The sequence below is a fragment of the Homo sapiens genome, chromosome 19 (assembly GCF_000001405.40).
Source record: "Homo sapiens chromosome 19, GRCh38.p14 Primary Assembly".
Classification (NCBI taxonomy): Eukaryota; Metazoa; Chordata; class Mammalia; order Primates; family Hominidae; genus Homo; species Homo sapiens.
Genome location: NC_000019.10, coordinates 5,474,500 through 5,488,185, shown reverse-complemented (window position 1 = coordinate 5,488,185; position 13,686 = coordinate 5,474,500). Strand labels below are relative to the sequence as shown.

At 50.9% G+C, this 13,686-nt stretch overlaps 1 long non-coding RNA gene across 1 annotated transcript, besides 2 other annotated features; it reads left to right on the top strand.

Annotated features, from left to right (window-relative positions):
- Positions 1–542: 542 nt before the first annotated feature.
- Positions 543–6,208, top strand: LOC124904622 (uncharacterized). The gene is made up of 2 exons (XR_007067106.1): positions 543–603; positions 5,909–6,208. It is a non-coding gene; the product is annotated as an uncharacterized LOC124904622 (long non-coding RNA).
- Positions 10,923–11,140: a silencer, noted in NCBI's record as "fragment chr19:5477057-5477274 (GRCh37/hg19 assembly coordinates)". NCBI's record gives its function as "represses an EF-1alpha promoter that drives an FKBP-Casp9 reporter gene in an ReSE screen in K562 erythroleukemia cells {active_cell/tissue: K562}" and the evidence as "EXISTENCE:reporter gene assay evidence [ECO:0000049][PMID:32094911]".
- Positions 11,736–11,905: an enhancer, noted in NCBI's record as "experimental_51701 CRE fragment used in MPRA reporter constructs". NCBI's record gives its function as "activates a minimal promoter by MPRAs in K562 erythroleukemia cells, with activity observed for both the introgressed and non-introgressed 19:5476377 variant alleles {active_cell/tissue: K562}" and the evidence as "EXISTENCE:reporter gene assay evidence [ECO:0000049][PMID:34662402]".

Sequence of the window (13,686 nt, the reverse complement as noted above, 5' to 3'; positions counted from 1 at the left end):
ACATAAATAAATATAATCCCAGCACTTTGGGAGGCTGAGGTGGGCGGATCACGAGGTCAGGAGATCGAGACCATCCTGGCTAACACGGTGAAACCCTGTCTCTATTAAAAATATAAAATACAAAAAATTAGCTGGTGTGGTGGCGGGCGCCTGTAGTCCCAGCTACTTGGGAGGCTGAGGCAGGAGAATGGCGTGAACCCAGGAGGTGGAGCTTGCAGTGAGTCGAGATTGCGCCACTGCACTCCAGCCTGGGCGACAGAGTGAGACTCTGTCTAAAAAAAAAAAAAAAAAAAAAAAAAAGAAAATTAGCCAGGTATGGTGGTGCACATCTGCAGTCCCAGCGACCCAGGAAGCTGAGGCAGGAGGATCACTTGAGATTGGGAGTTCGAGGCTTCAGTGAGCTATGATCGTGCCGTTGTACTACTCCAGCCTGGGTGACAGAGCAAGACCTTGTCTCTTAAAAAAAAAAAAAAGAGAGAGAGAAATCTTCCCCCATGTAATAATGGTGAGATCATAGAAGGAACTGGAAGCATGGGGATGGTGGCTCTATGAGGCTACTCTGGGGAGCTACTAGGTCTCCTTGAAAGATTTAAATCCCAACAGGTGAGTTTGAGAAGCTTTAGGGCTTGAGGTTTGTGGTTTCTCTTGTGGTCTCAAGTCCCGTTGGTGGAGATGATAAACCATGTGGCTGCAGACCCTTGGAACGTCGTATCATGGCCAGGAGGAAGGTGGATTGTGGGCAAAGGCAGACTCTGCAATCAGACAGGTCTGGCAGGAAATTCCAGCTATACCTATTCCCTGCTATGTGACCTTGAGTGAATTATGTCCCTCCCTGAGCCTAGTTTCCTGGCTGGTAGAATGGAGACCATATCAGCTCTTGGGGCCGGGCATGGTGGCACACGCCTGTAATCCCAGCACTTTGGGAGGCCAAGGCAGGTGGATCACCTAAGGTCGGGAGTTCGAGACCAGCGTGACCAATATGGTGAAACCCCGTTCGTACTAAAAATAAGAAAAATTAGCCAGGCGTGGTGGTGCACACTTGTAATCCCAGCTGCTCGGGAGGCTGAGGCAGGAAAATCGCTTTAACCCAGGAGGCAGAGGTTGTAGTGAGCTGAGATCGCGCCACTGCACTCCAGCCTGGGCAACAGAGTAAGATTCCGTCTCAAAAAAAAATCAGCTCTTACCCCATAGCATGAGTGTGCAAATTCAATGTAAGCATGTAAACTCTCAAAAGAAGCGCTGTGCAGAGCACCTGGACCACAGCAAGGACTTGATAAATGTTACCAGTTAGGGTCTGGAGTCTTCCTTTTTGCCTAGGATCTATGCCACTGTCTGCCACCTTTTTCTGTGGTATCAAAAGCCTCCATTCCTGTTGTATCTGTTAGGATAGGCTTGGTTTTGCTGCAGTAATCAAACAGCCCCTATGCCTCAGAGGCTAAGAACATCCAAAGTTTATTTCTCACTCACATTGTATATGCAATTGTGACCTTTTGGGCCAGGGACTTGAAGATTATCACTTCCCTCCAGGACCCTGGCTGATGGAGCAGTCACTGCCTGGAACTTGTTGATTTCTGTGGCAGAAGAAAACAGGGTTCTGGAGGGTATTTCATTAGCAGCTAATTGTTGTATTTTGAGTAGAGACAGGGTTTCACCATGTTGTCTAGAACCCATCCTACATTCCCACTCAATCCAACCCATTGCAGAAGCCAGGAAGTTCAATCCCAAACTGTGCTCATGTAATAGCCGTAGCTATGACATCCACCAAATCTCTTTGACATACAACCCTAAGCACTTCTTTTTTTCTTTTCCAGAGACAGGGTCTTACTCTGTTCCCCCAGGCTGGAGTGCAGTGGTGTGATCATAGCTCACTGCAGCCTCGAACTCCCGGCCTCAAGTGATCCTCCCGCTTCAGCCTCCCAAGTAGTTAGGACCAGAGGTGCACACCTCCATGCCCAGCTAATTTTTAAAAATTTTGTATAGGCCAGGCACGGTGGCTCACGCCTGTAATCCCAGCACTTTGGGAGGCCAAGGAAGGCAGATCACGAGGTCAGGAGTTCGAGACCAGCCTGATCAACATGGTGAAACCCCGTCTCTACTCAAAATACAAAAATTAGCCAGGCGTGGTAGTACGTGTCTGTAATCCCAGCTACTCAGGAGGCTGAGGCAGGAGAATCACTTGAACCCGGGAGGTGGAGGTTGCAATGAGCTGAGATTGTGCAGCTGTACTCCAGACTGGGCGACAGAACGAGACTCTGTCTCAAAAAAAAAATTTGTGTGTGTGTGTGTGTGTGTAGAGACAGGGTCTTGCTACATTGCCCAGGCTGGAGTGCAGTGGTGCCATCATAGCTCACTGCAGCCTCATCTCCCAGGCTCAAATGATCCTCCTGCCTTGGCCTTCCAAGTACCTGGGACTACAGCCATGTGCCACCACACTTGGCTAATTTTTTATCTTCTTGTAGAGACAAGGTCTCACTGTGTTTCCCAGGTTGGTCTCAAACTCCTGGCCTCAAGCAGTCCTCTCACCTTGGCCCCTCAAAGTGCTAGGACTGCAAGTGTGAGCCACTGTGCCTGACCAGCATTTATTTCTCCTTCTCACATCTGCAGATCAGCTGGGCTCAGTTCTACCCTGTGAATTGGGTCAGGCCGGGTCCATGTGTTTTTTTATCTTCCTTGGCTTAGTGGCTTTTCAAGGCATTTTTGACCCAGGGCTAAAGGTTGGAGCAGGAGAGGTCATGTAGAAACATGCAGTGACTCTGAAGACCTAAGTGCAGAATTGGCACACTGTCACATTCCCTCACATTGCCTTGACCAAAGCAAGTCACGTAGCTGGGATGGCCTCAGTGGGTCAGGGAAGGGCATTTCTCCCGTAAACTTTGGGAAGAGGTTGAATGAAATTTGCTGAAGAATAATCTAGTCTTCTATGTTTCAGAAGGTAAAGATCAAGAAATATTTGACAAGACCACTATTAATTACCATGCAGACACCATATACATAAATGTCAGGTTGTAAAGTGAAAAGTCCAGGGGTATATGGACTTCAGGAATGGCTGGATCCAGAAGCCCCCTTTTCTTAGTGTCTCTGCTCTGTCTTCAGGCCCTTACAAGACGGCTGTAGGTTTGAGTCCAGCAGGGAGAGCCTGCATTTTGATACTTCCTTTTCAGGTGTCAAATCTCTCAGATAGCATGCAACGAAGAAACAGCAACCTCTATCGCTTGATTGACACATACAATGAGCAAATTATAGGCTTCTTTCTCACTGTTCCCTTGCACTCTCCGTCACACTGAGCAGCTCATCTTCTGCAGAACAGGCTCTTGTTTCCACAGGTTCCCCCCTCCCCGCGTTTGCTCACACAGTACCTCCCCACCATGTTCCCCAAGGGGGATCAGATTATACAAACTAAGTATCACAGGCTCCCAGGGGGCCAGGCTGGAGTTCTTTGTATGGATTCCTGATCCTGCAGCCCCTTCTCAGATCCTCCCACAAGTGCATTTGCTTGGACCCAAGTCCGCCAGGCTGGAATGCGAGCCTCTTGGCTGAGGTCAGAATATGAGGGCGGCAGGCAGCATGGAGTTTGTTTAATTGATTTGCGCTTAACTGGCTGCCTTCCCGGATGGGCCCTGGAGGAGGGGGCAAGGTGGATTCTGGAGCTTGCTTTGGGCACTTTGCTGACTGGCGCACCTCCCCGGGTCCAAGGATGCTGGGATTCTGCTAAGGCTCAGTGCAGAGCCCAGCCCTCTGGAGGGATCCTAGGCTAGGGAGAGAAAGAGCTAGACTCAGGCACTCCCAGCCTTAAGCACCAAGGGCTGGGCAAGAAGGCATGACACAGCAGTGAGAGCACCTTATGGGGAGTCCAACAGACCTGTGTTCAAATCCCCGCTTGATCACTTATCCACTATAACCTTAGCTGAGCCACTTCAGCTTGTATGCCTCAGTTTCCCCATCTGTATAAATGAAGGAAGACACAGCATCTAACTCATGGGGCTGTTGCAAAGAGTGAACACATGACAGCAGGGGCTGGCAAGCTTTTTCTGTAAGGGGCCAGAAAGTCAAAAGTTTTGGCCAGAAAGTCAACTCTGCCAGTCGTGTAAAAGCAGTCATAGATGATAGCTGAGCAAATGAGCATGGTTGCATGCCAGTAAAACTTTATTTGTTGATGCTGACATTGGAATTTCATATTTTCATGTGTCCCAAAAGACAAGTTTTTATTTTATTTTATTTTATGTTTACTATTTTCTTTTTTTTAGAGACGGGGTCTCGCTCTGTCACCCAGGCTGGAGCGCAGTGGTGCCATCATAGCTCACTGTAGCCTCGAACTCCTGGGCTCAAGGGATCCTCTCCCCTCAGCTTCCTGAGTAGCTGGGACCACAGGCTCACACCACTACACCCAGGTAATTTTTAAATTTTTGGTGGAAATGGGGTTTTGCTATGTTGCTCAGGCTGGTGTCTAACTCCTGGCCTCAAGCAATCCTCCCGCCTCACCTCCCTAAACACTGACATGACTACAGGCATGAGCCACTGTGTTCAGCACCACAATATTATTTTATTTTTTCAACTATTAAAAAAGTTGTCCGGGCGCAGTGGCTCACGCCTGTAATCCCAGCACTTCGGGAGGCCGAGGTGGATGGATCACGAGGTCAGGAGATCGAGACCATCCTGGCTGACGCAGTGAAACCCCGTCTCTACTAAAAATACAAAAAATTAGTCGGGCATGGTGGCAGGTGCCTGTGGTCCCAGCTACTCAGGAGGCTGAGTCAGGAGAGTGGTGTGAACCCAGGAGGCGGAGCTGGCAGCGAGCTGAGATTGCACCACTGCACTCCAGCCTGGGTGACACAGTGAGACTCCGTCTCAAAAAAAAAAATTAAAAACAGGTGTTGGACTGTATTTGTCCCTGGCTGACTTCTGAAGTACAGCATTTACAAGAGCACTTAGCACATAGAAAGTGATCAACAAATACTGCTGCTATTATTATTATTCTTGTTTTTGATCCCGAGTCACAAAGGAGGCCTCAGAGCCAGGATGTGAGATCTAATGAGGACCTCAAACATCCATTTTACGAATGAGGCTGCTCCGCTTCTTAGCCCTGTGGCCTGGAGAAAGTGGTTTCACCTCTCTGAGCCTCAGTCTTCCCATCTGTACAATGGGTACAACATCACCTCCCTAAGAGGCAAAGTAATGACCCATTCCTCCACCCTCTTGTATTATCACTCTGCTCTCCTGGTGTGAACATACATCTCTGCTTCATGCTTCTGGGCCTTTGTTCTTGCTGGTCTCTCCAGCAAGAACCCACTCCCCCTTCTCACCCATTGGCTCTGTCTCAAACTTGGGGATCAGCACAGAAAGTGCCTCCTCCAGGATACCTTTCCCAACCCCACATTGGATCAGGAACCTTTTCCAACCTCCCTTATCACAGCAAATGTCAGACTAGGCTGGGAGTATCTGTGCTAGACATAGAAAAATCCAGGGCTGGTACTTTTCTGGGTACAAGGCTGGGCAAAAGTGGGGCACCACAGATATAGATGGAATTTAATGTCTTTCTTTTTCCCTTCCTCCCAATTCCCAATCTCTCTTACTCTCAGCTCCTCCTTCCCCCCTCCTTTTCTTCCTTCCCTGTCTCCCAGAAACCCCTTGGGGCCCAGAGCCATTGAAAACTCTTGCTCTCTTTATCTCCTGTGGCAGACAGATCCTAAAGTGGCTCCCATGATTCCTGCCTTCTGGTGTTCACATCCTGTGCATAATTCCCTACTCTTGAGTGTGGGCATGACCTGTGACTTGTTTCTCATCAACAGTATATAGCACAGGTGACAGAATGTTGCTTCCATGATTATATTACCTTACATAAGACTCTATCTGGCTAGCAATCTCACTACTCTTTTTCTCTCTTACTGGCACATGGTCACATTGTGAACAGCCCAGGGTGGGGACCACATTGCAAGGAACTGTGGGCAGCCTCTTGAAGCTGAGAGCAGAATTCAGCCAATGGCAAGAAGCCAGGCACCTCAATCCTGCAGCCACAAGGAAATGAATCCTGCTAGCAACCCGAGAAGGCTTAGAAATGGATCCTTCCCCAGTCGAGCCTCTGATGAGACCATAGTCCTGGTTGACACCAAAACTGTAACCTTGTAAGAAACCCTAATGCAGGGGCCCCAGCTAAGCCATGCTCAGATTCCCAATCCATGGGAACTGTGAGATAATAAATGTGTTGCTTGAAGCTGCTAGGTTTGTGGGTACTTTGTTACACAGCAATAGCTAATGGATACACCTCCATTTAAACATTTCCTTCAAGGCTCTTCTACAGCACAGGTGCAATCCAAGGAGTCCCAGATCTCCCACCCGATCTCCCTGGGCACCACCTTCATGAGGCCCATGGCCATGGGGTGAGGTGTGGCTGCCTTGGGTCTCTTGTAAGCAGGGCTGTGCAGCAACAGCCAGAAAGGGGTGGCTAAGGACATGGTGGCTCTTGTCCCCAAGCCTGTTGGATCCAGACCACCTGCCCTTGGGCAGAAGAAAGCAGCAGGACCATGGGACCTCATCCTAGGCAGGGGCTTTTCCATGGTCGCCCTGGCTCTTGGGATGTGTCTGCCCTGGACAATTGGTTCTAGTGTGGGACACTTATAACTGTCATTGACTCATGAGATGCCTGCCATTCGTTGGCCCAGACAGAGAATTCAATCACACTGAAGAAAGAAAAAAATTCATTCTCTTCTATTCTCTTTCCATTCTGCAGAGCCACTCTGTCCAATATGGCAGTCACTAGCCATGGGTGGCTGTTTACATTAAATTAATTAAAATCAAACAAAATTTGATAGAAAGCAGAGTCTCAAAGAGATACTTGTACACTCACATTCATAGCAGCATGATTCACGATAGGCAAAAGCCAAAAACAACACAAGTGTTTCATCAGACGAATGGATGAGCAAAATGTGATCTATGCATAAAATGGAATATTACTCAGCCTTAAAAAGGAAGGAAATTCTGATACAGGCGATGACATTGATGAACCTTGAGGACATCACACTCAGTGAGAGAAGCCAGACACAAAAGAACAAATCTTGTGTGACTCCACTCCTAGGAGATCCCTAGAGTCATCAGATTCACAGAGACAGAACGTAGGATGGGGAGTGCCAGGGGCTGGGGAGGGGGGTGGGGAGTGAGTGTTTCATGGAGATGGAGTTTCAATTTGGGAAGATGAGAAAGTTTTGGAAATAGTGATGGAGTTTCTCCATGTTGGCCAGGCTGGTCTCGAACTCTTGACCTCAGGTGATCTACCCGCCTCGGCCTCCCAAAGTGCTGGGATTATGGGCGTGAACCTCTGCGCCCAGCCTTGATTTTCCTTTTAAAGTGCCAGGGGGTCTCTGGTTTACAGATCCCAGCCAATACCTGGACCTGGGAGAATTTAGTAACTGGGTTTTGTTTTCCCTGTGAATCCCACAACTGTTCTCTGAACAGCAGCCAGAGGGCGCCCGTGAGCACCTAAGTCAGATCTCGTCTCTCCTCTGCCCACAGCCCTCAATGGCTCCCACCTCCCTCAGGGTCAAAGCCCAAGTCCTCCCCGAGGCCTACCAGGCCCTGCACGACCTGCCCCAGCCCCTCCCTGCCCTCTCCTCCTCCTTGTCTCCCCCTCACTCACTCTGCTCCAGCCACATGGGCCTCCTCGTTGTTCCTCCAACACCCCAGGTGAGGTCCTGCCTCAGGGCCTTTGCACAGGCTGTGCCCTCTGCTGGCAAGCTGTTCCTTCCAAAAGCCATGTGGCAGCCTCCCTAGCCTCCTTTGTGTCTTTGCTTCAGTGTCTCCTCAGTGAAACCCTCATCTGCATCCTAACTGAAAGCTTCAAGCCCTACTCAGAATTGACAGCCCCCTCCACTTCTACCCTTCAGACAAGAGAGCCTGGGACTCCCTCAACAGTGCTCTGAAGCTAAGAGCCTAGGATATCCCGGCCTGCCCACGACCTTGTCCTCAGCCTGGCCTTTCCCCAGCTCGCTCTGCCCCTCCCTGCAGCAGTTCAGAAATTCGTCTGGCGCACAGATGCCAGGTGGGAAAATTAATTGGGCCTTCCTGGGGCTGCTCTCTCTGCTCCCCCGTCAATAACAGCCGTAAAGCGGGATTTATGCGGCCGCGCTGGCTCCTGATGGAAACTGGGAGGAGGGGCAAAACATTCTAGAAAAGTCAATCCCTCGCCCAGGGAGCCGCCGGTGGCTGGGGCTCTGGGACCAGAGCCATCTCCCTGCTGCCCTTCCCTGGGTTGGGTGGGCGGGGAGGGAGGACATCGTCCCGGCTCTCCCTGTCTCTGGTTGGGAATCACATATCTAATTATATCTCACATGTGGGCCGGGCACGGTGGCTCACGCCTGTAATCCCAGCACTTTGGGAGGCCGAGGCAGGCGGATCACTTGAGGCCAGGAGTTCAAGACCAGCTTGGGCAACATGGTGAAACCACGTCTCTACTAAAAATACAAAATGTTAGCCAGGCGTGGTGGCAGGTGCCTGTAATCCCAGCTACTGGGGAGGCTGAGGCAGGAGAATCGCTTGAACCTGGGAGGCAGAAGTTGCAGTAAGTTGAGATTGTGCCACTGCCCTCCAGCCTGGGTGACAGAGCAAGACTGTCTCAAAAATAATAATAATAATAATATTATATCCCACATGTATAAGCACCTGTTGTAGGCTAGGCTCCGTCCCATGTGTTTTTGGAACATCAACATATTTAAAATTGGGAGGCAGGAATTTTTATGTCCCTTTTACCAACAGGGAAACAGTGACACAGAGAGGTCAAGCAACTTGCTGAAGGTTGCACAGCGAGAAAGCAGCAGAGCTGGGATTCGAACCCCGGGCTGTTAGGCTCACATTTGACATTCTCGACCACTTAAGCACGGCCCACTGCAGCTTTTATATGTCTGGTATCTACATTGCAACCCCTCAAGGCTCCCAGAGTTGAGATGGTTGGGCTGAGTGTACCAGGAGGTGAGGGGTGCAGTTTGGATTTGAATCTCCATGGTGGTGGATGTTCTCTCTCATGTCTAAGACCGTTGTTACTGAAGGCCTCCTCTTTTCCTACTCTGGGTAAGAAAGGAGGGGACATCTGGGTGTCGCCAGCTTCCAAACTTTATTCTTATTTCTTTTCTTCTGAGCCAGTTGCTGTGGTTGCCACAGTTGTCCCTGGCTTAGGGGTTTGTGGGGACTAGCATGTGAAAGGATGATACAGGCAGTTGGGAAAGCCACAGTCACATCTTGATTTAACTGAGGGCTGCTGGCTACAGAGGATTTAACTGAGGGCTTCAGGAGCTATTGCATGAAGCCTGCTTGAAACTCTTACATCTGCTGATCCCTCTGGTGTCCGTTGCTTTTCCTTTCCTCTCCCTCCTCAGTAGAGGCTCTTCGAGGCACCCCTGGGGAGGTCATGTAGGATCTGAATTCAAATCCCAACTGTGCTGTGTGACCTTGGGGAAGCGTCTTCCCCTCTCTGGGCTCAGCATTCTTATCGGAAACCCGGGGCTAATAGCAGTAGGGTTGTGCAGGCACATGGAGCAGGCATAGATAGGAGAAAGTCCAGCGCTGACTGAACACGCGGTGGGCTTTTAACTATTTTTCTTACTGTTTTTATGTCGCCTTCTGACTGCAGAGAGAGCGAGAGAGAGCGGGGCGGGGAGGCTGCCATCTCTCCCCGGAGCCATTCCCGCAATTCCCGGACCCAATCCAGCGGCCTCCCTCTTCCACAGGCGCCGCAGGGACGGGTTTGATGGACATGTTTTTTGCACGGAAAAAAGCTGGAGGAATTGTATTTTGCCAAAAGTGTCAGCCGGAGAGAAAATATTTCCCGCATCTCTGGCGAGTGTTGACGGGCAGCAGCCAGCGCGCTGCTGGGGGGGTGGGCGGCAGGGGGCTGCACACATCCGGGGGCCGCCGCCCCCACCTCTGTCCCAGCTGCCTCATCAGCCTCCGAGACGCCCCCCTGCAAGCCTGTCCACACCCCGCCCCTCCCCTCCAGCCCCCTGCCTAGCTTTTCCCCTCCGACATCCTCTCTCAGACACCCCAGCCTCTCTCTCTTTCTTTCTCTCCTCCGTAAGTATGGAATGAGTAAATGATATTGGAGCTGTGATTTGCAAAATGAGGCGTTTGCCTGGACAAGGGGGTGAGCAGGAGGCACCATCAGTGCCAAGGCCCTGGGGCAGGACAGACCCTGGCGTGTTGGAGGAACAGCGAGGGGGCTCGTGTGGCTGCAGCAGAGTGAGGAGGGGGAGAGGAGGGGGTGAGGAGGAGGAGAGGGCAGGGAGGGGACAGGGCAAAGTAGGGAAGGGACAGGGCAAGGTGTGCAGGGCTTTACGGGCTGTGGGGAGGACTTCGGGTTTTATTCAAGTGGTACTAGGGATCCCTGGGAGGGATTTGAGTAGGAGAGGGACGTGATCTACTTTATGAATAAACAGATCCCACTGTCTGTGTTGGGGGAATGGGTTGGAGGGGGGCAGAGTGGTGGCCTGGAGGTGGAGGAAGAGAGCCCTGTACCCTCCCTTGGCTCAGGGCACTGGCGAAGGGCCAGGGGACTCAGAACCAACTCTGTCTGCGCCTCGTGTCAGCAGAATCGCTTGAAATTCAAAATAAAGCAGACCATTCCAAAGAAAGCAGGCCAGGTGCAGTGGCTCATGCCTGTAATGCCAGCACTTTGGGAGGCCAAGGTGGGTGGATCTCTTGAGGTCAGGAGTTTGAAACCAGCCTGGTCAACATGGCAAAAACATGTCTCTACTAAAAAAAAAAAAAAAAAAAAAAAATTAGCCAGGTGTGGTGGCGTGCGCTTGTAGTCCCAGCTACTTGGGGGAGCTGAGGCAGGAGAATGGCTTGAACCTGGGAGGTGGAGGTTGCATTGAGCTGAAATCACGCCATTGCACTCCAGCCTGGGCTACAGAATGAGACTCCGTCTCAAAAAAAAAAAAAAAAAAAGAAAGAAAAGAAAGAAAAAGAAAAAGAAAAAGAAAAAAAGAAAAGATTAAAAATAAACCAGACTGGGCCTCTGTAAGTTAGGGTTTTAGAGCAACAGAGAGATGCGTCCAGCAGCCTTCACTTCAGCGTTGACAGACAAATAACCAGAAATGACCAGAAACCCGTCACTGGGGGGCAGGTGACCTCTATCATCCCTGAAAAGGAAGGCTATGCAGCCGTGATGAAGGGTGAGGTCTGGTGTGGTAGCGGACGAGGACTCACATCCTGGACACGTGGGTGGGGGCCGGAGGACAGAGCAGAATGACACCGGAGAACATTCCAGAAGCATCCACACCAGAACGTCAAGGGGGGTCACCCCAGGGAACAGGATTGTGGCAGGGGGTTTATTTTGCTTCATTTTATTCTTTTAAAAAATGTATTTTTAGAGATGGAGGTCTTGCTATGTTGTCCAGGCTGGTCTTGAACTCCTGGCCTCAAATGATCCTCTCCCCTCAGCCTCCCAAAGTGCTGGGATTACAGGTGTGAGCCACCGCACCCGGCCGCCTCTCCTTTTTTTTTTTGAGACAGAGTCTCGCTCTGTCGCCCAGGCTGGAGTGCAGTGGTGCAATCTTGGTTCACTGCAAGCTCCTCCTCCCGGGTTCACACCATTCTCCTGCCTCAGCCTCCCGAGTAGCTGGGACTACAGGCGCCCGCCATAACATCCGGGTAATTTTTTGTATTTTTAGTAGAGATGGGGTTGCACCGTGTTAGCTAGGATGGTCTCGATCTCCTGACCTAGCGATCTGCCCGCCTCGGCCTCCCAAAGTGCTGGGATTACAGGTGTGAGCCACTGTGCCTGGCCCCGCTTCTTCTTATATAAGTGCACCAGTTGTTAGATTTTGGGCCACTCTACATCCAGGATAATTTCATCTGCAAAGACCCTATTTCTTTTTTTTTCTTTTTCTTTTTGGAGACAGGGTCTTGCTCTGTCGCCCAGGCTGGAGTGCAGTGGTGCAATCATAGCTCACTGCAGCCTCAAACTCCCAGGCTCAAGCAAACCTCCCACCTTAGCCTCCCGAGTAAGCTGGGACTACAAGGTGCGAGCCACCATGCCCGGCTAATTTTTGTAGTTTTTGGAGAGACAGGGTTTCACCGTGTTGTCCAGGCTGGCAAAGATGCTATCTCTAAATACAATGCCATTCTGAGATTTTGGATGGACGTGAATTTGATGGGGCAGACGAGCGTGCTTCTCCCTCCCTCCCTCCCTCCCTCCTTTCCTTCCTTCCTTCCTTCTTTTTTTGACGGAATCTTGCTCCATTGCCCAGGCTGGAGTGCAGTGGCATGATCTCAGCTCACTGCAACCTCCGCCTCCGAGGTTCAACCAATTCTCCTGCCTCAGCCTCCTGAGTAGCTGGGATTACAGGCACATGCCACCATGCCCAGCTAATTTTTGTATTTCTAGTAGAGACGGGGTTTCGCCACGTTGGCCAGGCTGGTCTCGAACTCCTGACCTCATGATCCGCCCCCACCTCAGCTTCCTAAAGTGCTGGGATTACAGGCTGAGCCACCATGCCCGGCCTAGGAGTGTGCTTTTCAACCCACTACATCATGTAACATAATACAGTCTAAGGATTCTGTTCTAAGAATTAGGATGTGGACATCTTTGGGCGGCATTGTTCTGTCTGCTGCACCACCCTGTCCATCTGATTTTGTCCCTCCCCTGCTGAAAGCCCTGCCATGACTTGCTATTTCCTTAGATCAAGATTAAAACTCTAGGGCTCTGGCAGGGCACAGTGGTTCACACCTGTAATCCCTGCACTTCAGGAGGCTGAGGCAGGAGAATTGCTTGAGGCCAGGAGTTCAAGACCAGCCTGGGCAACATAGCGAGATCCGATCTCTGCAAAAAATTAAAAAAAAATTAGCTGGGTGTGATGGCATGTGCCTGAGGTCCCAGCTACTCAGGAGGCTGAGGTGGGAGGATCGCTTGAGGCCAGGAGATCGAGACCAGCCTGGGCAACATAGCAAGACCCCATTTCTACAAAATAATAATAATAGAAATAATAATGAAAGCTGTCACTGTTGTCTTCAGTGTTCTGGGGGGTCCAGAACCCCCAATCAGGTCCTTCTCCTCTGCTTTCCTCCCAGCTCACTCCAGCCACACTGTCTGTCTGGCATTCTTCAAATAGGCCAAGCTTTTTAGAAGCAATCCAGCCTGGAATGCCCTTTCTTGCCCTAGAGCATCTCAAGGCTGCTCCCCACTCAACTGGAACTCCAAGGTCACCTCTTTAGAGTAGCCGTCCCAGACTACCTGGGCTAAAGTGGCCCACCCTCCTCCACCTTCACTCTGTGGACACCTGAATCAGGTTCCGTCCCTCCTCTGCCTACAGCCCTCCATGGCTCCCGCCTCCCTCAGAGTCAAAGCCCAAGTCCTCTCTGCAGCCCGCAAAGCCCTGCATGACTTGGCCCGTCCCCTCCCTCCCCTCCCCTCCCTCCCTCCGTGTCTCCCCTTCCTCACTCTGCTCCAGCCACATGGGCCTCCTCGCTGTTCCTCCAACATGCCAGGCGAGGTTCTGCCATAGGGTCTTTGCACGGGCTGTGCCCTCTGTTTCCAACACTCTTCTCCAGTCACCACACGGCTCCCTCCCTGCCTCTTTCAAGTATCTGCTGAGATGTCACCTGCTCAGTGAGGCCTCCCTGACACATTGCCCACCTTAGTTTCTAACTTTCACTTTCTTCCATGGAATCTCTGGCACCCCATGCCCCTTCTTGCTTTAATTTTCA